This window comes from Homo sapiens, chromosome 13 (genome assembly GCF_000001405.40).
Source record: "Homo sapiens chromosome 13, GRCh38.p14 Primary Assembly".
NCBI classification, from domain to species: domain Eukaryota; kingdom Metazoa; phylum Chordata; class Mammalia; order Primates; family Hominidae; genus Homo; species Homo sapiens.
The window spans coordinates 112,694,861-112,718,713 of NC_000013.11; the positions used below are offsets into that span (position 1 = coordinate 112,694,861).

Genomic DNA, 23,853 nt, shown 5'->3' on the forward strand with positions numbered 1-23,853 from the left:
ATAAACATTTTTGCTTCCCGAGAACTTGAAGCAGTGCTATATTAGAGTGTGTTAAACCTTCTAGAAAGTCCAGCTATTTATATGCATGCATACATATCTGCTTCTTTTATTTATTACCGAATGGTGTATAATGTGAACATCAGTGTTCAACTGTGAGGTTGCCCCTTCTGAAAGACAGACTTATTTATTTAACTCAGTTATGCCAGCCCCTGTTTTAAAATTTTAGAAATGCCACATAATTTTGGAGTTTCTTTTCCTAATCCAGGATTAGACGATCCAGTGGGACCTTGCTGTTGTTCAGCTGCTGGAGTCTACACCACAGGAGCACTAAGTTAAGCTGCTTTAGCTGCCAAGGTCTTCAGGTATTTGAAATAAGTGAATCCTGAGGCATAGAATCCAAGACTAATAATCTGTCTCCAGCAGTGTGGTGGCAAGCCTGCAGTACAGACTCGTAAAGTGTTCATAATGAACAAATGTTTAACCAGGCAGCTCATCACACGAATTCACCAAGCACCCTTCTTGTCTTCAGGGCCTCGTGTCTTCCACCTGGACATTCTAAAGCAGTCTGCCCAGATGCATAATTTCACCTTTGTGTCTACACAAAGGTTGAATCATTTCCATTGCTTTTTGGAACCCTGTTGAATATCTGCTTATTAGGAACAAGCATCTTGAGGTGCTTTTATTTCTTGCCAGGGAGTGAATTTAATAACCTAGAGGGAAAAAAGTTTGTATTATTAGGTTTGGCTATAGTCAGCTAAATTTCTAGGGATAAGAACACTGTCTTCAGTTTACAATTAGTTAAAACTGTGTTGAATCCATGAATAAAAATACATAGTTGCTTAACTACACATGAAATCCTCTATTTACAGATGTATTAAACCCTAAAACCCAAAATACAAATTGTTCTCTGGTGCTTGGAGCATATGTTCAATAGAAACAGGGTTAATAAAAGATTCTCAAGTCCCAGACTTATCAATGTTTTTTTAACCAAGTTAAATGCTGGTAAAAATGCTATTTATTTGCAATAAAAATCAATAGCAAGCAAGTTTTACAGAGTAGAAATTCAAGAAGATCAGATAAGGGATGATTTTCTCTTTCACTTGGATATTATTATCTGAGAAGAACAAAATGGTACATCCCAGAGGTGCCGAGGTTAGGCGTCGGAGTCTGACAGACCCACATTCAAGTTCCGTCTCGGCTGACGGCTGCGTGGCCTTGGCAAGTTGGTTGCCCCCTGTACGCTTGGTGCCCCATCTGCAAGGTGGGGACTATGATGGTGCCCACCTGGTGGGTCTGTGCAGTGACGGGACAGGTCACGGCGCTCGTGCACGCTGGGTGCCCAGTGCACGGGGCGTCTTTGTTGCGCGCATGGACCTGCGGCTGCATCACCGTCCATGCTTCTGGGCTTCTTAAGGAGACCGCCTCTCACCTTGGGCTTTCCGGAACCTTCTCCCCGCACTCCTCTTCACGTGGAGAGTGGGTGACCTTGCCCTGCTCTCCCGGGGAGAGCGGTGGTCACTGGTGGGAACGCCCCTGCCACGCCCAGCAGCCTTTCTGCCTCTGCGCTTGCCTCCTCCGGTTGGAGCGAGTGACCCGTTCTGCCGAAGTCCAGTCCCGTGTGTGCTGCGGCCCCGTCTCTCTCCCTCTCTGAGTGACACTGTCTGCCCTGCTGCTTGCCGTCCCGCTGTTGGCACCGCTTTAGACCCCATATTTCCCAGCGGTCACCGTGCTCATTTTTGGCTTCCAGCTACCGTTTTTCTTAGGTTACCCCGCGTAGCTGGCCCGTCCTTCCTTCTCCTGTCTCTTCTGTGCCTACCGCGGGGGGTTCCCTTACCAAGGTCTCCATCACCCCCAGGCCCACCTCCCTCGGGCCCCTCTCTGCCCTTGCCCTCCACCTCAGCGACTCCGTGGGGCTTTTGTGATCCCAGCTGCAGTTAGCGAGCGCCCCTGTGTGCTCAGAGACACGCCAGTGAGCCGGGAAGGACAGAGACCCAAGTCCCATCCCTCTGGGGCCCCCTTGGAATGGGGGAGGCGAACAGGAAACCACCACAGTGAGTGTTGGGGTGCCCCGCAGGCGACGGTGCTGAGAAAAAGAGAGTGGGGTTGGGGGCAGTGCGTGCGCAGGCTGGCGGGTGGGCGAGGCGGGTGGAGGATGCGTGGGGCGCAGTGCTTGCGCGCAGTGGGTGGCGGGGTGGACGAGGTGAGGGCCTGGCCAGGTGGGTGCCTGCGTGTCCAGCCTGAGGGGCGGCCCACGCAGCAGCCTCTGGGAGCCCTGGGGCCTTCCGTGGGCTGCTTCCTGTGGCGTCCTGCGGGCTGGCCGCCCCTCGGTGGGCTCCGGTGCTGGCCTCTGCCTTCCCCAGGGCCACGGTGGGCTCCTAGTGGCCTTTCTTCCCTCTCCATCAACATCCTTGTCCCAGGAAGAGGCGTCCACTGCCTGCTACACGCCACCCAGCCGTGTTCATTTCCGTGTTCCAGTGTCACCCGTGTGCCTAGAACGTTCCTGGCACAGAAAAGCCACGCAGAAAACAGCTGCTGGGCCAACACCGAGACCCCAGGTCATTAGTGTTAATCAGAGTGATGAAGAGGTTGCCATTGGCAATTCGGAAGGGAATTCAGGGAGAGCAGCCGCAGTGCCCTGTCCCCAGAGCCTGGTGTCCAGAGCCAGAGTTCCGAGGGCCTCCTCATAGTTTTAAAACTCTTTATTTTATTTTTATTTTTTATTTTTGAGACAGAGTCTCACTGTGTTGCTCAGGCTGGAGTGCAGTGGCTTGATCTTGGCTCACTGCATCCTCTGCCTCCTAGGTGCAAGCAGTTCTCTTGCCTCAGACTCCTGAGTAGCTGGGATTTGTGCCACGACGCCCGGCCAGTTTTTTTTTTTTTTTTTTTTTTTTTTAGTAGAGATGGGGTTTCACCATATTGGCCAGGCTGGTCTCGAACTCCTGACCTCAGATGATCCGCCCACCTCTGCTTCCCAAAGTGCTGGGATTGCAGGTATGTGCCACCACGCCCAGCCCTGAAACTACTTTCATTTTAAAACGATGAGTTCCTAAGAACTAGACTCTGATCCCTGGAAACAACATGCCAACCTCTGGCATGCAGGACCTTTGCTTTCCAGGCAGGCATTTCCCAATTTTGTTAGATTCTCAAGGGAGCCCCTGCCCCTGCTAAAGTTAAGACTCCTGTGCTGGGACAGGCAGGCTCCTCTGATGTGGCTGCACGGGCGCACTCAGCAGCCTCGATACAATTTGAACTTCTTGCTGACATTTGAACACAGAGGACGGCACATACATCCCCACATTTCCCCACTTTTTTGGAAGTCTCGTGACTCCTGGCCTGCTGGTTTCCCGAGGACCGCTTCTGCTGGAGCGATGGCCACTTGGGGAGGGTCGGTGCTCTCCACTGGCCTGAGTTGCTGGGCCCATCACTGCTGCGTCGAAGCCTGAGACCACCCCACCCGGTCCCAAGGAGGACACAGGCTTTTCTGGTTTGGTTGAGACTTGCAGAGCCTAAAGAAAACTGCTGAGTTGTTTTTGCGAGTTACCTAATGGTGCTTTAGCTGCTGCATGCTTTTGTCCCATGGTGCGTTTGTTTGTAATTCACCACAGCTGTAATTGCAGCAGAGCCAGAGAGCTTTCTCCTTATTACATATCCTGAGAAGGAAGCCCTGGCAGCCCGACCTGAGAGAGGGTGATGTGGCTCACTCATGCAGGGATGCTGGGACATCAGGCTGGGAGTCAAGAGATGGAATTTTAGGCTTTCTCTGCCACCTTTTACCTTTGTAACTAGGGTTGATGTGTGAACCCTTTGGGCAGATTAATCATTAGTTGCCTCTTTAAACCAATCTTTTATTTATTTATCTTTATTTATTTATTTTTGAGACAAGGTCTCACTCTGTCACCCAGGCTGGAGTGGGTGCAGTGGCGCTATTTCGGCTCAGTGCAACCTCTACCTCTTGGGTTCAAGTGATTCTCATGCCTCAGCCTCCCAGGTAGCTTGGATTACAGGCGCCTGCCACCACGCCTGTCTCATTTTTTAATTTGTATTTTTAGTAGAGACAGGGTTTTGCTATGTTGGCAAGGCTGGTCTCGAACTCCTGACCTCAAATGATCCATCTGCCTCGGCCTCCCAAAGTACTGGCATTACAGGTGTCAGCCACCGCGCCTGGTCTTTAAACCAATCCTTTAAATCTTCTCCATTTTCAAAGTAGAGTGGGAAGAAACTGATTTTTCTATGAATAAAGATTGTGTAAGTCGTTCTTTCAAATGTGATTTGTGTTCACATTCAGAAATTTGTTAGTGACATATTTTCACTTATTTGCAAGTGCCTTTCCTTACAGTTTTTCTGCCACTCAACTCAGATGAGTTATTCTCAAGGATAAAGACCACTTAGATGAATATATTTTCAAATTCTTACTCTGAATGTGTTTAAGTAACCACCCTCTACCCCGTTTGGCAAAATGTTTCCCATTTTTCTGTGGTTTTTATTTTATTTTTTGTGGCTTTCAGAACCAGATCACTTCTTGGAAGGCATATTAGAAGTTTGCAGTTGAGACGATAAAATAAGTCACTTTTTCCTGGGAGGTGGTATTATGTCACACATCATTTGGTATCAAAATTTCCCCCGGCTGTGGCTGCAGAGTTGAAGGACATCAGCTGGCTGCGCTTGGGGTTGGTGGTCCGTTGTGAACTCTGCACCGTATAGTGTGTGTGCTTTATGTGCAAACGTTTTAACAAAGACAGGTTGCTGCGGGCAAGAAGGGTTTTAACTTCTGTTCGTGTTACTTCTGCTGAGTTGGAAGGAGCACATTTCACAGATGATGTCATTGGTGGAGGCCGAGCCTGCCAGCACCTTGTCTGCGTGTGCTTTGGCTGGACGATGGTCTACACTGGGCCCCTGTGCAGCCTCCTGCCGGGGAGCCTGTGTCCCACCTGGCTCTGCTCTGAGCCATTCATGTCGCCTCCAGTGGCAGCTGTAAAATGAAACTCATGGCCTTTGCTGTCTCTCTTGTCCTGGGTGGTGAGGATCAAATGAACCTTTATTAATGGACATGAAAATAACCTTGTAATTTCATACACTGAAATTACACTTTTCGTACGCTTTTCAATGTAACACATTGTAAAGCGCTGTAAAAATATCTCAGGAAAGGGCTGCCAATTTTTGTCACATCTCATGTGACAAAGGTAATTTTTTTTTTTTTTTTGGCTTGGAAAGGGAACGAAAATAAGATCATTTTTCCTGGTAGGAAGGTAAAAGATTTTAAAGAGAAGGTTTGTTACATGTGAAAAAAACGATTTGATCAAAGGCATAATTGGTTGAATTATGCATTCGACAAGGATGGAAATTACACGTTCAACAAAGATGTGAAGAGCGTGCAGCCTGGCAAGGCATCTCTGTCCTTAGCGTGCCCACCCCCAATACGGGAAGGGCAGGAGAGGCTGGCATGAGGCACCCGTGGTCCGTGCTGTGGGCACCTCCGGGAGGCAGCCTGGGACAGGCGGGTCCTGCTCCAGAGAGAGAAGGGGCTGCCGTCCGGCATGTCTGGGAGGCTGGGTCCTTCCTTCCCCAAGGGTTGTATCCACAGCCCCTCTCGATCCTCACAGCAGCCCTGTGAAGGAGCACTGTGCCATCCTGTGACAGGGCAGCCAGGTCTCATTGGCACTGGGTGCTGAGGGTGGTGGGTGGGCGCAGGCCTTGATGCCTGACTCTGACCTTGTTCTCCCCGGCGTGGTCTGCACCCTGTGAAGGGTGAGTGAACGCCCTCCTGGCCCAGTTCAGCCCCAGGTTGTGCCTGTTGTCCCCACATCGTTAATAATTATCCATAGCGTCCCCTTCACTCGCAGAAGCGTCCGAGCTTAGACAGCAGGTTCCACGGCCACTCCAACATGCGGTCTCAAACCCAGGGCCTGCAACTCCCGCCATGTGCCCCGTTCTGCTTGTCACCCGCCTCGCCCTGAGGAGCCTCCAGCTGCTTCAGGACTTGTCCCTGTGTCACACATCCAGGGCAGTTGTTCACTAGCATCCCCGCTACCCCTGAATCCATCTCCACGTGCGTGGGCTTGGACCTGCTTCTCTCGCCCACTTATCTGTGTATCTCTGAGTAGTGAGACTTCCACGTTAGCGCTGTGGGGAAGAGGCTGGGCTTGGCTCAGCTGCTGAGGGATCAGCCGACCCCAGGTCGCTGCGGCCCTTTCAGGAGGACGTTGGGGGGCAGGAGTGGCCGGCGGCCACCTGAGAATGGGAGTGGCACCCGAATATGTGGAATACACAGAAATTCGAGTCCGCCTGTGGCCGTCTCCACGGTCCTTTCTACCATGATTTCTCCATGTCCCCTGCAACAGCGACCCATCCCAGCCAGGAGAGGAGAACTCTGGGAGGTTGCCTGGCAGTTACAAGTGTGTTAAGTATTGTTGCTGCGTGCTTATCAGTTAGGCTCAGGCACAGCTACTAACTTCCAGGCATCTCGGCAGTGTCTGGCGTTTGGCAGTCAAGTTGTGTTTAGTTTTGACTTAAAGATTAAAAGGTTATAGAATACAGGAATAATCTACCTTTTGAAGGAAAACTTGCCAAGTTCGCCTGACCTTTGAAATGCCAAGAATCCCAGAGATGTTGAAGGAAGTGCCCAGAGGAAGATCTGGTCCACAGTGGGTATTCAGCACACTGATTTCTTTCCTATAAAAAATTATCTGTCAGGGCCGGGCGCGGTGGCTCATGCCTGTAATCGCAGCACTTTGGGAGGCCGAGGCGGGCGGATCACGAGGTCGGGAGATCGAGACCATCCTGGCTAACACGATGAAACCCCGTCTTTCCTAAAAATACAAAAAAATTAGCTGGGCGTGGTGGCGGGCGCCTGTAGTCCCAGCTACTCGGGAGGCTGAGGCAGGAGAATGGCGTGAACTGGGGAGGCGGAGCTTGCAGTGAGAGGAGATCGCGCCACTGCACTCCAGCCTGGGCGACAGAGCAGGCTGTCAACACATTTATAACCCCAGCAATGGACTGAGGTGTGAGTAGGTTCCGCGTCGCCCTTTTCCTCCCAGTGTTACCCCCGGCACTGTGCTTGTGTCTCGGCATCCTGTGGATGGGGCCTGCGGTTATCCAGCTGGTGGTTCATGAGCACACACATGCCTGAGGAGATGGATGGAGACAGGCGTTGCTAGTAGCAGTTCCTCCTCTTGTCACAGAGTGTGCAAAAACACTCTTAAGTACAGCCTGGTGCGATGGGTCAAGCCTGTAATCCCAGCACTTTGGGAGGCCGAGGCGGGTGGATCACCTGAGGTCAGGAGTTCGAGATCAGCCTGGCCAATGTGGAGAAATCCTGTCTCTACTACAAATACAAAAATTAGCTGGGCATCGTGGCGGGCACCTGTAATCCCACCTACTCGGGAGGCTGAGGCAGGAGAAGCGCTTGAACCCAGGAGGCAGAGGTTGCAGTGAGCCGAGATCGCACCTTTGCTCTCCAGCCTGGGCAACACAGTGAGATTCTGTCTCAAAAAAAAAAAAAAAAAGAAACCACTGTAAGTACAGACACCGTAGCAACCACACGGAGGCCCCCCGCCCCGCCCCCCGCGTGTTCCAGTGGGAAGCAGAGCCTCGGAAGGCGTGCACACGGGGGGTGCGTGATGGTGTCTCCCTCTGCCCTCAGATGGCCAGGCCTCGGGCCCGATGTGCCAGGGTGGGTTCTTGTGTTCCGCGGGCTTCTTGTCCCTTCTGTCTGCTGTGTTGTGCGTGCGTCTCTCTGGGTGGCCTTGGCCGGGCTTCTCTCTCTGTGAGACAGGCGCATCTCTCAGGGCTTTCTTCGTTCTGCTGATATCTATCCCCTCTCAGGACCACTCGGTTTCAAAAGCGGTAACTAAACTTGTCTAACACGTGTGCATGAGAGGAAGGCGGCCAGAGGCATGGGTCTGAGGGCTTTGCTTGAAGAGCGGGCGGTGTGCGTGTCTCGCAGCGCCCCCACCTCGGTGTCTCAGGGCCTTGCTGTCTTCCGCCTTTTTCCCAGCGTCTCACCAGCAAAGTGAGTTTATGAGAATCATGTTAACACACAGGCTTGATGATTGAGAAAGCAGATGCTGAGAATGTGACTATGGAATGAATAATTTTCATTATGAAAAACTGATACATTGTTTACGACATGATTCTCTGAGATGCTTGTTGCTGAGATTACAAACTTAAATGGTTTTATTGTTATGTAAGCACCTAGCATCTTAGTGTGGAGCTGAACAGGTACTGCCTGTGTTTCAGAGAGCTCAGCCGCTGTTACAGAATACTGCAGGCTGCATGGTTTACGCAATAGAAATTTATTTCTTGTAGCTCTTGAGGCTGGAAATCAGATCAGGGTGTCTGCATGGTGAGGTCTGGTGAGGGGCCCTCCTGGGGGGCAGGAGGCTGTGTCCTCCCAGAGGCGGGGAGAGAACTCTCTCTCTTCCTCCTCGTAACCACACACCAATCCTGTCTGATTAGGACACAGACCTCATGATCTCATCTAATCGTAAGTACCTCGTAAAGGCCCAATCTTCAGGTCCAATCACATTAGGGGTTAGGGCTTCAATATGAGATTTTTGAGGGGATCACAGTTCAGCCCACAGCAGTGTCCTGGTGACCGAGGCACTATTTAGATGGCGAATATTCAGACGGATCGGAAATGGCAAAGAGGACAGTCAGAAAAACACATTACGCCTTGTCTGTTGCTTTATGAAATAGATGACAGAAGCATGTTCCACGAAGTCTGGAAAGACAGAACGTAATTACTTAGTGAGAATGGGTTATTTTTTAAGTTGTGGAACAAAGTTAGGTAATTTGACCCTTCTTAGATGTAACAGACCGCAGTTCCCGTGGTTGGTTCGGATCTAAGGTTCTGTGTATTTATGTCTTCTTTTTGCTTTTTTTTTTCCCACTGGAGAAAGCTGGTAGGGGAGAGGTGGTTGGTATTAAAACAATGCTATAACATATTGTTTTGGTGTTTGCATTACAATCCAAACACACAGCATCTGGCTTATTGACAAGACAGATGTTAGGGTTTACATCACAAAACGGGATTGGGCCTGTCTGCTCAGTAAACTCAGAGGCTGCTGGATCATGATCTGGTTCTTCCAGTAAATGGAATTGCTTTTTGGAGCCCATACTCTGTTCACCTGCGTGTGTGGAGGAGGACGTCTTACCGTTGACAAAATTGGACCGTGCTAGTTGGAAGTTGCACTTGAAATGCAGGTCAGAACAATGGGATACGCTGGTCCTGCTGTCCCAGGCGGGGGAGTCACGGGAGGGCTCGAGTGCCACACCACCCACACGTCAGCCACCATGTGGGTTCCCAAGGCAAGCAGTGAGTTCCCAAGCCAGCTGTCGTCCACCTTTCTGGGTTAGTGTCTTTTTAAATAATCAAAGGTCTTTACCATCCATTAAGTACTGGCCCAGTTGTTGTACGCACAACTCAGAGGTGATTGTAGGTTGTGACTGCTCTCAGTCGGTAGTTAGGGTGGCCTCTGGCGATTGTTGGAGGAATTATGGGTACTTTGCGCTCTCTTTCACTGAAAATGCAAGGCCAAGTGGCTCCAGCACTCAGCAGAAACCATAACTGGTTTTGATGCTCTTGGGAGCCCAAGGCCACAGTGGCTGCTCTGCCCCCGCGTTGTCTTATCTGGAAAGGTCTGTGGGAGGCGAGGCTCTGACTGCGGCGTGCGTCTCAGGTTTGTATCTGGAGCACGTGAGAGTATGAGATGGGCTGGGGGTGTCCCCCTCCCTCTGTACTTGCTCAAGTACAGGAGCAGCTTGCCTGAGTCTGAGATGGGCTGGGGGTGTCCCCCACTCTCTGTACCTGCTCAGGGACAGGAGCAGCTCACCCATTTCCTTCATTCTTTCTGGCTTTGTTGCTCACCATTGCCTGGGAAGGAAGTGGCTGCCTAAATAATTAAATAATCTCCTGCTTCAGAGAAAAGAGGATTTCCTCCAACCTATTTTCAGCAAAGGATTAGGGACAATGAGGTCCTGCCAGTAGAATGCCATCTAGATTTTGGTGTGGTTTTCCAAGGTCTCAGATTGCCCACGAAGACATGGAAATGGCTTTCAGACCTCAGCGGGACCCCTGGTGTGGGGGATGGGAGGTTTGCAGGCAAATGGGACCACAGATTCTCCTTCACTTTCCGATAAAATGCCTCACAAACGTGGAATAACGGGCATCTCCTTTTCTCTCTAGAAAGTGCAGTGAGGTGACGTGATTTCACTCAGATAAATGGAGACAAACCATTAAAATATTAGGTAACCATCAAGTATACACGTGCTTTTTTGTTTTCAGTAATAAATGACTTTGGTATAAATCTGAAAGCAACATGTAAAAAGAAAGCTGGAGCGACTGTCATGGTGGCTGGAGTTTCCTTTTGTCCTCATTTCTGATGTTATTTAACTCCTTTTACCATTTCTCGGATGTAATGTGGAAACAAAATGTGCAGGCCCTCGGCAGCGAATGACACGTAGAGAGGGAAACCCTGGGATTCTCGTAGGGGAGGGTGTGTGATGTCCTCAGCACGCGGGGGTGCTCAGCAGTTGATGTTCATCCCGCACGCACTGAGCAGCTGCTGTATGCGCTGAAGATTCTGTGGGGAGCAAGAGGTACAGGCGCCCCAGCTCTCCTGGAGACTGGGCAAGGATGGAAGGCACATGGCATGTAGCACACCCGCTGTGAGGAGGCGCCAGGGACAAAATGAGAAGGGAAGGGTGTCCGGGACGGGGCATGGAGGACGGGAAGCCGGCAGGGACCATCAGAGGACAGCTCCAGGCAGAGGAAGCCCCCCAGGAGGGATGAGCAGAGGCCTAGTCTGAGACCTAAGCAGGTGTCGACTGCCCCTTTAGTTTTCTTGCTCACAATACAGAATGTATGTGTTGCTTTTCAATAGTGTTTTAAGCTTGTTTAATATTATACGGCCAAAGGAGGAAAATGTTACATAGTAGGTAAATTTGGATGATTTTTAACATTATAAAGATGTATTGCTTTATTGAACGAATATACAATACATTGATTTATAGGTAATTTTTTTATTGTGGCAAAACATACATAAACTTTACCATCTTGTCCATTGTGAAGCGTACAGTTCCATGGCGTTAAATACACTCAGTGCTGTACGATCATCACCGCCAGGTACTTCCAGATCTTTTTCATCATCCCAAACTGAAACTGATTAGGGGCAATTTTAAGTAGTTTCTGCATCTACTATTGTGTAGCTTGCTTTTTGGGCAACACTCTTTTTTTTCATCAGTGAAAGAGATCTTAACGGGTGAAGAGAAGACATTGAAACACAAGTGCTAGTTACGTTTAAATGCAGGATGGACCGAGATAGGAGGATTTTTTTCTTTTAAATAATTGGCCATAGTAAAAGGTAAAAAGGTAAAAACTTGAATGTGAGGACTCATTTGCACTTCATATTTTGCTTAATATGCTGAGAGCTGCAAGAGAGGAGGATCTGGTGTTTCATCTTAGAGCAAATCATACTTGATAGTAAGAGACAGAAAGTCATAAAAGCGTGATGTTCAGCAGGCAGGACATTTAAATCATACAGCTCATAATGATGTTAGTTGATGGTGTTACATGGTTCCATGGCTTTTTCCTAAGTGTGTTTATAAGAAATTGGAACGAGGATGTTTTCTGTGGCATTTTCTTCCAGGAGCTCGGTTCTGCTAATTGCTTGGTTTGAATAAGTGCTCTCTTTCCAGTTGGTCTATAACATTTCTTTTACTATCTAAGAAATTATGAAGAAATAGATTGATTAATTTGAAAATTACATTTAAGAGTATTTTCCTGTAAAATTGTTGGTTCTGTGAAAAACAATTCCTGTTATTTCTTCTCTAAATACAATGAGAATTTTTTTTGTTCTTATATTGAAATAGCTCTTTGATTTCCTAAATTGCTGTGCTGCTTTTTAAAGGACGGCATGGTTTCAGAAGCTATTAGGTTGGTGCAAATGTATTTGCGGTTTTTGCATTGTTGAAATTTGCTGTTTGATATTGGAATACACTCTTAAATCAATGTGGTTATGCCACACATCATTTTAATGTGAATTTCTCACTTTATGCTTTTTTGCGACTGAGTTATTACTTGCCGTTTAAGTTTATTTTAGACTGTGGAAAAGACGTTAGACAAAAAGCAAATTCGAGCGATTTTCTTATTCGAGTTAAGAATGGGTTGTAAAGCAGTGGAGACAACTCGGCAACATCAGCACCACATTGGGCCCAGGAGCCGCTGGGAACCACTAAACGAGCATACAGTGCAGTGCTGGGTCAAGAAGTTTTACAGGCTGGGCGTGGTGGCTCACACCTGTAATCCCAGCACTTTGGGAGGCCGAGGCAGATGGATCACCTGAGGTCAGGCGTTTGAGACCAGCCTGGCCAACATGGTGAAACCTTGTCTCTACCAAAAATACATAATTAGCCCTGTGTGGTGGCACACGCCTGTAATCCCACCTACTCAGGAGGCTGAGGCAGGAGACTTGCTTGAACCCAGGAGACAGAGGTTGCAGTGAGCTAAGATCACACCATTGCACTCCAGCCTGGGCAATAAGAGTGAAATTCTGTCTCAAAAAAAAAAAAAAAAAAAGAAGAAGAAGTTTTGCAGAGGAGACGAGGGCCTTGAAGGTGAGGAGCGTAGTGGCCAGCCTTTGGAAGTTGACAACGACCAACTGAGAGCAGTCATTGAAGCCGATCCTCTTAAAACTACACGAGAAGCTGCTGAAGAACTCAATGTAGCCATTCCACAGTCGACCGGCATTTGACGCAAATTAAAAAGGTGAAAAAGCTCGGTAAGTGGGTGCCTCATGAGCTGAGCGAGAATCAAAAAAATTGTGATTTTGAAGTGTCATCTTCTCTTATTCTACACAACAAAAACAAACCATTTCTCGATCAGATTGTAACGTGCGCCGAAAAGTGGATCTTATATGACAACCAGTGACAACCGGCTCAGTGGTTGGACCGAGAAGCTCCAAAGCACTTCCCAAAGCCAAACTTGCACCAAAAAAAGGTCCTGGTCACTGTCTGGTGGCCTGTGCCGGTCTGATCCACCACAACTTTCTGAATCTCCACAAAACCATTACATCTTGAGAAGTATGCTCAGCAAATCCATGAGACGCTTTGAAAACTACAACGCCTGCAGCCGGCATTGGTCAACAGGAAGGGCCCAATTCTTCTCCATGACAAAGCCCAACCGCACGTCACGCAACCAACACTTCAAAAGTGGAAAAATTGGGCTGCGAAGTTTTGCCTCATCCGCCATATTCACCTGACCTCTCACCAACCAGCTACCACTTCAAGCATCTCGACAACTTTTACAGGGAAAACGCTTCCACAACCAGCAGGATGCAGAAAATGCTTTCCAAGAGTTTGTCGAATCCCAAAGCCTGATTTTTATGCTACAGGAATAAACAAACTTATTTCTCGTTGGCAAAAATGTGTTGATTGTAATGGTTACTATTTTGGTTAATAAAGATGTGTTTGAGCCTAGTTATAATGATTTAAAATTCACGGTCCGAAACCGTAATTACCTTTGTACCAACCTAAGTCCCCTTATTATTAGTAAGAAACTTAATTGTAAAATGGAGTAATTATATATTTTACATCGTTAGACTCATTTAAAAACCGCAAGTATAGCATGAAATTGACTAGAAACCCTATTTGTCAGGTAATCTTCGCAGTTGACAGAAAAGTAAAACGTAAAAGGAGTATTAATGGCTTTTCCTTAGCACCCTCACTCACAATTTTAGTTCATTAAAAAATGGGTTGATATTGATTTCTATCAACATGTCACCCTTGCAAACCTCAGAGCGACTGAGTCTGATGGACAGTTTCTCGGCTTCCCTGGCTGTCACTCAGATGTGGCCTCTCACTGTGGGCCCCACGTGGGCTGCGTGTGGCCCTGTGAGTTGGTCCCACCCCTGCCCGACAAGCCTGTAGCTTTGGTCGTCTTCCAACGAGTGGCTCTCCCGCCTGTGTTTTGAACTCATGGAGGGGGAGGGGGAGTTTGTGCAGAGAATCTAGGATCATGTGCATCTGATTTTATGTTTTTAATGGGCCTGGCCAAGGAAGAGAGAGTGATTTGGTTCCTGTCTTAACTTGAAGACCCTCTGGGGCAGGCACATGTTCCAGGGTAGACTCCGGGAGGGATGGGTGTGATGTGTCTGTAGGGTTCCAGGCGGGAAGGGGAGTGCCGGAAGCAGGTCTGGGAGGGGGAATTGGGTGTCCCCAGCCAGCCTGTCTCAGGGGCCCATGTGGGACTCTTGGCCAGCCCTCTGTGCCCCTCCTGGCTGTGTCTTCAGGACTAAGCTCTGATTTTTTTTTAAATTTACCCAAATTCCTTTCTAAGGGGTCTGGGGAGTCATGCCCTACAAATCATAAATTCTCATCAGATGGGTTTTATTTAACCCTGTATATCATGACTTACTTTCCAATCTGACTCTGGCATAACAAGGAAGAAAATCAAAATGTTTTACCCCAAAATATATTTCCTTGTCATACCTTGAAATTGCCCTGCAAGGTCACTTGTGGGAAAAATCCACATTCTGTAGAGAATCCTCTTCCCCCTTTGTTTTCCTTCTTTCCTTTCCAGGTCCAGGCAATAATCAACTAAGATCCAGGCACCCTTTTAAGTCTGATAAAAAGCAATTTACAACCTGCCTTCTCTGAAGTCCGCTATCTAAGAGCTTCCTCTGCACAATAAAACTTGGTCTCCACAATCCTTTATCTTAACCTGAACATTTCCTTTCTGTCATCCCAGGTCTTCAGATAAACTCAACCAATTGTCAACCAGAAGATGTTTAAATTTACCTATAGCCTGGAAGCCCCTCGCTTTGAGTTGTCTCGCCTTTCTGAACCAAACCAATGTATTTCTTAAATGTATTTAAGTCTCATGCCTCCCTAAAATGTATAAAACCAAGCTGCGCCCGACCACCTTGGACACATGTTCTCAGGACATCCTGAGGGTTGTGCCACTCATATTTGGCTCAGAATAAATCTCTTCAGATATTTTACAGAGTTTGACTCTTGTTGTCAACTGTCTGCAAATAGGAGCTGCGCCCATGAGGGCATAGCCCAGTTAGGCCGCGCTGCTCCCTGCTGCTGACCAGCCCCTGTTGGAGCTGATGCTGCCCACATCCCACAGCTGAGAGCAAGGGTCTCAACAGCACAGGTCCTCTGCCTGCACTCTGCCCTGGAGCTGGGCATCAGCCATGGTGAGGGCCTGGAACTGCGTGACACCCGGGTGTCAGGCGGCCACTCTCAGCATCCACATTCCCTCAGCATCACGGGGAGGCCGGCTGCAGTCGGGAATCACGAGTGTCATCCATGTGGTCCTCCCTCTTTGCAGACGTGTGTGTGGCCGTGGTGTTTAAGTTGTGTCTGCTGCCTTGGGGGCCCTTTGGAAAGGCTCTTTCTCACAAAGAATGCATCGTGTTCGCAAAGCCAGCTCATGCCTCCTAATGTAAACTCAAAACCCAATTCACCCCTAAGCAAGTGGCCCACACCGTGTGTGACTGGAAAAATCAGTGTTTCCCGACAGGATGTGACAAATGGGGCTGTAGCAGGGCAGGGCCGCTCCCCAGAAAACAAGCGCCCCAGGTTTTCCCTTCTCCTGTACCACTGCCCTGGAAGAGTTCTACCCATGAGGGCCCTTGGAGCCATCTCGACTAGAACGTTAACAGGAAGGAAGGAGCCTGCGGGAGAAGACAGGGCTCCAGGAGGCGGCGGAGGCCTCTGTGGTGGCCAAGCAGGCCCCGCAGGGCTGAGCTGCTGGGTTTTCCTGGGCCTGGGCTGCTCTCTGGTTCCAGGGAGGGGTTGTAACACTCCCGGCAGAGCTGTCTCATGGGGAGGGCGTTCACAGGTGGTGAGTGTGGACAGTGAGGGGAAGACCAGTTCCAGTCTTTGGCAAATGCTGATAGTAATGAAAATCATTTTAAAAATCATAACAGGGCAGACAAGTCACAGCTCTGGTTGGTCTTCACCTGCCGTCACTATCATCCCTGCAGGGAGAGAAGGTTCGGCTCCCTGGGGCTCTCCCAGCCCCGCGTCATGTGAGGGGGCACTAGTCACAGTGCGGGAGGCTTCAGAGCGGAGGGCAGGGCCCCTGCCAACCACCCGGAGCCACCCACCCACCCACCCACCGCTGTTTGAAGCAGGGACTCGGTTCTCAAAGTGCCGGGGTCAGAGGTCACCAGAGGCTGCTGAAATCAGGGTTGGAGGGCTGGCATGTTCGTATTTGGGGGAAGGAGGCAGGATCCCAGGGGACCCGTCCTGCGTGCTGACACTTTACCACGAGGCAGCTGGGCCGCGTGCGGCTCTTCCGACTTTTCATCATGCTTCCTGAGCCAGAGCCATTTAAAAAAAAATGCTGAAATTTAGAAGGTAGTATTCGCTCTAAAATTTTGTCGCTTAAAAAAGTGGCTTGAAGTATTCAGCAGGAAAATTGTCCCAAATTACTTGTTAAAACTAAAAGCTGGGCCAGGTGTGGTGATGCACACCTGTGGTCCCATCTACTTGAGAGGCCGAGGTGGGAGGATCAGATCCCCTGAGCCCAGGAGTTCGAAGCCAACCTGGGCAACATAGCAAGACCCTGTCTCTGATACATACGTAAATAAAATAAAAGTTAAAACTCAAAGGGGAGGAACCTGAGATCCAATTTTAAATCCACCTGATGAGAAAAAAAAAAAAGCAGCCCAGGGACGTCACCGTAAACAGGCACCGCATCCACCAGGGGTCAGGAGTCAGGTCAGGGCTCTGGACTGGGAGGGGCACTGCAGGGACATCCCGTCAGCGGGCACCGTGCGTTGAGCCAGGGGTCAGGGCTTTGGACCGGGCAAGACTCTGTTTTGCTTCCATTTTTTAAGCCTCTGGAAGTCCTGGCTGTTCAGAATTCCAGGCTTGAATTGCTAGTGTTCCCGGGACTGGGAAACAGCCCGGATGTGTGGAGTAAGAGGCAGCTCTTGGATTGCTGTGAACGTAGGGGAGCAAGGCTCCACGCCCTCTCCCAGCCTCTCTGCCTTCTGAATACAGCCCAGGAGCCTGGATGACTCACTTTCTGGAGCACATAGATAAGGAGCGGGTGGAGGGGAGAGGCCTTAGTTAATTAACATTCCTAGGAATCTGAGGCTCCTTCTCCCAGCCCTGTTGTCTGGGTAGCAACGTGCTGAACCCAGAGTGAGAACAGCTGGCTGCAGTGTCAGGGGCAGGACCTTTTGTCGATGAGTTTAAAAAACAAAGCAGAAGCTGCCAGGTGCCTCCTTCGCATGTTGGCTCCCACGTGTTTTCCCCGTTCTCCCTCCCCACCCTGAGTGACACACGCTATGCTGCTTGAAAATAGCACAGATGCATTTTGCTTCACGGTGAAATGTGGCCGGTAGTTCCCCAGGAGTAAACAATGTGGTGGTGCCCACGGGGGAAGAGCAGCTTAATTATGCACCCAGCCCCGCATACAAAACGCTCCCTCCATGGTTAGAATTTGCTGGGGCTAAGGGAGTCAGGGCTGGTTTTCTCCAGCAGCCTTGGAGCTAGGTGGTGTCATTTAAATGGCCCTCAAAGCCCTACCTGGATGTCTTCATTGTGCCACACCAGCCTTTATCCAAGCTCACTGGGCCCCACAGTGTGGCTGATAGTGAGGGTCTGGGGGTGGGGGATCGTGAGGTGAGGGACAGCAACCCCGTCCTGTCCTTGTCTAGGCCTCTGAGACAGGCCCGAAGGACAGGCTTTTCTCTCTACTGTGGGTGATGGTCCCGGCTGGTCAGCTAGCGTCCACAGCCCCTCGACTCCCTGCGCAGAGCCCCTCTCACTGGACCGGCGTCAGTGCCCCACAGAGACTGGAAACCTGTTTCCAAGGTGTGGCTCTATGGCCGGACCACAGTCGGTGAGGTGAGGGCCAGTTCCAGCCAGGGTGCCACCTCTGCCTTTTCTTATGTCCACTGGAAAAAATAAAGAGGGTGTTTGTCATCCCCTGTCTTTTGGGACTCGGGGTTCAGTGCAGGCCAGGGGAGGTTGTGTCTCTGGTGTTTGCTGAACACAAAGCGTATGAAAGTGGTAACACCTCGGAGGTGAGGGCTTTCTTTTTATAGCAGCCATGCTGGAACTCAGTGTCTGAGGAGACCTAGAGTATTTGTTTGAATGTTTGAAAGAGACGTATCTGGTTAATGTGAGCAGAGGCTTGGAAATTTAGAGCACGCTCGACTGTATTTCAGTAGACTTATGACAGCAGCTACACATCCATCCATTTTAGCATTCTCAGAGTATTCTAAAACATGGAGGGCTGGGCACGGTGGCTCACACCTGGAATCCCAGCACTTTGGGAGGCTGAGGCAGGCGGATCACAAGGTCAGGAGTTTGAGACCGGCCTGGCCAACATGGTGAAACCCCGTCTCTACTAAAAATACAAAAATTTGCTGGGCATGGTGGTGGGCGCCTGTAATCCCAGCTACTCAGGAGGCTGAGACAGGAGAATTGCTTGAACCTGGGAGGCGGAGGTTGCAGTGAGCCAAGATCATGCCATTGCACTTTAGCCTGGGTGACAGAGCAAGACTCCGTCTCTAAAAAAAATAAATAAAAACATGGAGTTCACAAAGTGGCATGAATAATCATGAAACGAAGTGACTTCAAAGTGTAATGGTTCTCATGCATGTAAGAATTCATGTTATTAAACAAGTATAAATAAAAAAATTGTGCACTGCATAAGTGACAGATAGTTTTGTAGTATTTGTTAAAGTGCCATCATAGCCGCCTGTGAAAGAGGTCTCAGTAGGTGTCTGATTCTTGTTTAATGCCACAGCTTCTGAGACTCCATTTGTTTCAGGCAGAGTGGACATTTCACTCGCGGTTTAATTTGCGGGAAGATCACATTCTGGCCGTTTAATCTTCTGATGACAGACAGCTAACTGTTGATAAGGATAAAATGAAACCAGACATCGGTTTGCATGTGTCCAGTTGAGGGGAAAAAGGCCGAGGATGCTGTCAGGACGCAGGCAGGCAACCTATTTAGGATGGGGAGTAGCAGTTCAGAGGGTGTAGCTTCCATTCCTGGCCCCAGCCTCCCTTCCACTCCTCCCACCCCTGATCCCAGCCTCCCTTCCATTCTTCCCACCCCAGATCCCACGCCTCCCTTCCCACCCAGCTTCCATTCCTGGCCCCAGTCTCCCTTCCACTCCCCCCCACCCCTGATCCCACACCTCCCTTTCACTCCCCCGACCCCTGATCCCACGCCTCCCTTCCACTCCCCCGACCCCTGGTCCCAGCCTCCCTTCCACTCCCCGCACCCCTGATCCCACAACTCCCTTCCACTCCTCCCACCCGGCTTCCTTTCCTGGCCCCACGTCTACTGGAATTCCACTCCTCCCAGCTGTCTTGCACCCGCTCTCTTTCCCCTTGTTTTCTCTTTTCCTTCCCAATTAGCACCGATTTTCCTTCCCCGATTAGCACCTCCCGCTGCCGCTCCAGCTGTGTTCTCCATCTCCTGGTCTGGGGTGTTCCGCTGCAGCCACAGGACCCCACTGTGGGAACCCACGTCTCTGCAGGGAAATGTTTACGGTGACTTTCCTATGTGTGTGGCTGGCTCGTCAGGGAGCGGTGTGGAGGAGACCTGAAGGACAGCCCTTCCCCTTCCCTTTCTCCCTCCTCACTCCCCGAACCCTGCCCAGCTCTGGGCCTCCCCAGGGCTGAGGAGAGGTGGCGTCTCCACTCCTGACCTGGAGGCCCGTCTGGCTTCTGGCTCCAGCCCCCTCTGCTGCCTTCTTTGTGTGTCTGTGATGGAATACGCGTTCTGCGTGATGAGACTGTTATGGAGACGCAAGAGAATGTGAAGGTGAAGCTTCTCGACCTTGGGCTGGAGCGGGTGGGGTGCTGAGAGCACCGAGAGCCCCTTGCCACCTCGGCTTCTGGCAGGTCAGTGAGGCCACTGTGGATCAGGCTTTTAAGATCATGGGAAAACACACATAACAAACATGCAACATCTTGTCTAGATTTATGTGCACAGTTCAGTGCTTTAGCACGTTCACCTTGTGTCACCATCACCACTGCCCCCCCGCAGAACTTCCGCTTCTTCCCAAACTGAAACTCCGTCCCGCTTAAATTCTCTCCTCCTTCCCCCTTCCCGTAGACCCTGGCAGCCCCATTCAACTTTCTGTCTCTAGGTATTTGTCAGCTCAAATGAGTGACTCACACAGGATTTGTCCTTTTGTGACCAGCTCATTTCACTCAGCACAAAGTCCACAAGGGTCCCTGTGTTGTAGCCTGTATGACTCCGCCGTTCCTTTGCATGGATATACCACGTTTTGCTCACACATTCACCTGTTGAAGGACACTTGGGTTGTTTCCTGCGGCAGCTTTTCCTGACCGAAAGCTTCTCAAAAGGACTAGCCCCCTCAGGTGCCCCAAACTCGATTGCAGAAGACTGTGTTGTCACCTGCCTGCTTCTACAGAGAGGCACCAACCTGGGGTGACATGTGCACTCTTGGCTTTGTAGTGTCCTGGCCCATCCCCGGTACCTGGCCAATCCCCTACACCTGGCCCACCTCCCCACACCTGGCCGATCCCCCCACACCTGGCCCACCTCCCCACACCTGGCCCACCTCCCCACACCTGGCCCACCTCCCCACACCTGGCCCATCCCCCACACCTGGCCCATCCCCGTACCTGGCCCATCCCCTGCACCTGGCCGATCCCCACCCTTCACTTGGCTGAGGCCCCCCCCCACCTGCCTGATCCTCCCCACCTGGCTGATCCTCCCTACCTGGCTGATCCCCCCACCTGGTCACACTGCCCCTCCTCCCCAGAGGGTTGCCCCTCTGTATTTACAGTTGATTAAAATCTTACTTTCTCTGGGAATTCTTTACAGATTAATCTTCTTCCAAAGACAACCCTAACCTGTGCCTTTTCAGCAGTTGTGCTATTTTGCAGGACGAATTCGCACCTGTTTCTGTGTTGCTCTGTGATCATTCCCAAGTGGCTTGGGCTTGGAGCCCTGTTGCTCACACCTCTGGGGGCCGGGGAAGGTGTTTGCCAGAGAGACAGAGTGTATGGCCTTGAGGGCACCTTCTCCTTAGAAATCCGATCCCATTCCTTTCCCCTTCTCCCACTAAGGGCTCTCTGAGGGATGGTAGTGGCTGGGTGTGGAATTGGGTTTTGCTTTGCTTTCTCTCCCCAGCAGCTCTGGGCAGGCTGGCTCTGTGGGGGCCTGGGGGTGGCTCCTGCCTGGACTTTGAGAATTGGAGAGGCTTGGAGCTCATTCTCAGTGGAGTTCCCGGTGGCTGCTCCGTCTTCTGAGCCTGGTCCTCTGGCCTTCTGCAGATGCTGGGAGCCACAGCACCCTGTGATAGACCTTTTGCCAGAGCTCCCATGAGAAGCATCCACCGTGGTGGGGCCAAGTCCCTAGGCCCCAGGCATTCCCCATCTGGTGGGAAGTGGGGGCTTTAGCAAGTCGCATCTCTCTCTGCCCCTCCTGGTGAGCTCTGCTCCGACAGCTGTGGGAACCCGTGGGAATGCCCACCTAGGTGCGTGTGGCCTGGCGTCTCCCCAGATTCACTTCCTAGTTTTTCACTTCACGTGGCCCAGACACTCAGAAGGAACCACCAACCCAGTGGTCTGTGGTGGCTCTGGGGGCCTGTGGGGGCCACCACCTCTAGTCTCCTGGTAGGCATCCCCTCCGCCTCTGGGAGGACGGGAGCCGGGACAGAGGGGGCAAGGAGGCCTCCTGGGACTGGGGCGTTCCCCACCTTCCACTGTGCCGGTCTTCATGCAGGGCCAGAGCCTGGCTCGGGGCTGGGTTTGCACTGAGCCAGGTCCTGACTCTCACCCATGTCTTGGGCACGTCGATGGGGCCGGGCCGCTGGAGAGGGTGTGAGAGCAGGTTCCTCCCCAGGTCTCAGCCAGTGACGGGGCCCATCCTGGACTTGGGGGCTCTGCGTGAGTGGGGCAGTGGCAGCTCCTGCAGGGCCCAGGTGGGGTGTGGGTAGGTCGGGGAGGCTGCTGGCCTCCCAGCCTCCCTCAATTTCTGCGTTCTAAAGATGGCTATGTGCAAAATAAAGGTGAAATGATGGGGCAGTACTGGATCAGGTGGACATCCGGGAGCTGGAGGCCCGTGCACTTTCCCTGGGACGGGCAGAGGCTTGTGGTGTCCACCCACAGACGCAGACCCACTGGCCTGCAGGGCCCATAGAGGCTGTTGTTGGCCCTGGTGATGAGTGGGGGACACGAGTATGTTCTGAAATGAGGGGGAGGCTTCTGTTGTGACCTTGACCAGGAAGAGAAAGAGAAGCCAGGAGGAGAGCAGACACGCTTCCGCCTTGAGGACGGCACTTGTTCAAGTGTAAAGAACGGAACAATCGGGACAAAATTTAAAATGCAAATATGGTCTCATTTATTTGTAATAAAAGGCTGCTGGAAAGTAGGTGCAGGAGTGGCCCAGGTTAGCATAATACTTTTTCTCCTAATCACATCCAACTTGTTTTTCTACTCTTATTTCAGAACATGCCCCCCCGCCATCCCAGGAGAAGCAGCAGCTCTCTGCCTCCTTGACTGAGCTCCATTACCTCCAAGCTGAGAGGGTTGTTCAAGAGGGCGTGTGGGATTCTTTTGAAAACACATTTTTAGAAAGCACCCTTTTAACAACTGAACATGATTTGGTTGAAAATAAACATCCCCGGGTACTCTTGTGGTACATGTTTATGATTTTGATGCTTCTGGTCTGAATGTACAACCTTCACATTGTACATTACAAACACTACTGTCAAGTTTATAGATTTTCATTTTATTTGCTAATTCATTTTTCAGTTCTCTGCACTGCTTGTAAATCAGGCAAACCTGATAAACTGTCTAAACATATGATGATACTGAATTGATTAAGTTATGGTCGTAGGTGAGAAAACAGTACATGTTGTGTGATGCCATTCCGAAAAAGTTTCAAACACACATCTGTGCATTAGAAATGATTGCCACGTGGCCAGGCACGGCGGCTCACGCCTGTAACCCCAGCACTTTGGGAGACCGAGGTGGGTGGATCACCTGAGGTCAGGAGTTTGAGACCAGCCTGACCAACATGGTGAAACCCCATCTCTACTAAAAATACAAAAATTAGCTGAGCGTGGTGGTGCATGCCTGTAATCCCAGCTACTCGGGAGCCGAGTCAGGAGAATCACTTGAACCCAGGAGGCAGAGGTTGCAGTGAGCCAAGATTGCACCACTGCACTGCAGCCTGAGTGACAAGAGGGAAACTCCATCTCAAAAAATTAATAAATAAATAAATGATTGCCACCGCCCCCTGCCCCCCACCCCGCCAAGGCGTGAACAGGAGTTGTCTCTCCCCCTTTGCTGTGTGATAGTCTTTTTGCTTGAATTTATTTTGCTTTTCCGTAAAGAACACTCATTGCTTTTACCATTGGATAAAAAGCATAAAAACAATATAGATATTAAAAGCACCTGGATTTTTTTGACGCTTTAACAATTTTAAATTTCTTTTCAGGTGACAATGTTCAACTCTGCTTTTTGTTTGTGCTCATGAAATTTTATTTGTTAGCCAGCCAAAGCCAAGTGTTTCCAGTTAAATTTACAACTCTTCTGTCTGTTCCAAACACAGCCTAAGCAAGAAGACAACTGTGCCGCCTGCCGCAAGTTTCATGTGAAATACCCCCAGAGGGCAGCCGCCTCCGCTGGGGGTCCTCCCTCCGAGGTGTGTGCGGTGGGGATGGGAACCCGCAGAGGCAGCACCCAGCTACTTGCCACTTAGGTTCTTCTAACTGCCCTCGAGAGATTGTCACTGGGTCCTGGATCCCTGGGTTTGGATTAGCAGTCGGACCAGGGTGGGCTTGCAGGCTGCACTTTTTTTTTTTTTTTTGAGACTGAGTTTCATTCTTGTCACCC

The 23,853-nt window shown here is 50.4% G+C and overlaps 1 protein-coding gene across 13 annotated transcripts in view, besides 3 other annotated features; it reads left to right on the plus strand.

Annotated features, from left to right (window-relative positions):
* Positions 1 to 23,853, plus strand: part of ATP11A (ATPase phospholipid transporting 11A) — a 197,131-nt gene that overhangs the window by 4,823 nt on the left and 168,455 nt on the right. Inside the window, exon 1 of one of the 13 annotated variants that reach the window (XM_047430218.1) lies at positions 1,611 to 8,482. The exons of the other annotated variants lie outside the window; for them this stretch is intronic. The gene's annotated coding sequence lies outside the window, so the exon portion shown is untranslated. Of the gene's footprint in view, positions 1 to 1,610; positions 8,483 to 23,853 lie in introns of those variants that run through there. 13 annotated transcript variants of the gene reach the window in all.
* Positions 7,627 to 8,333: an enhancer, noted in NCBI's record as "H3K27ac-H3K4me1 hESC enhancer chr13:113356801-113357507 (GRCh37/hg19 assembly coordinates)". NCBI's record gives its function as "activates a minimal SCP1, AML or CMV promoter by ChIP-STARR-seq in naive H9 embryonic stem cells {active_cell/tissue: H9 hESC(naive)}" and the evidence as "EXISTENCE:reporter gene assay evidence [ECO:0000049][PMID:30033119]".
* Positions 8,955 to 9,498: an enhancer, noted in NCBI's record as "H3K27ac-H3K4me1 hESC enhancer chr13:113358129-113358672 (GRCh37/hg19 assembly coordinates)". NCBI's record gives its function as "activates a minimal SCP1, AML or CMV promoter by ChIP-STARR-seq in naive H9 embryonic stem cells {active_cell/tissue: H9 hESC(naive)}" and the evidence as "EXISTENCE:reporter gene assay evidence [ECO:0000049][PMID:30033119]".
* Positions 18,953 to 19,782: an enhancer, noted in NCBI's record as "H3K27ac-H3K4me1 hESC enhancer chr13:113368127-113368956 (GRCh37/hg19 assembly coordinates)". NCBI's record gives its function as "activates a minimal SCP1, AML or CMV promoter by ChIP-STARR-seq in primed H9 embryonic stem cells {active_cell/tissue: H9 hESC(primed)}" and the evidence as "EXISTENCE:reporter gene assay evidence [ECO:0000049][PMID:30033119]".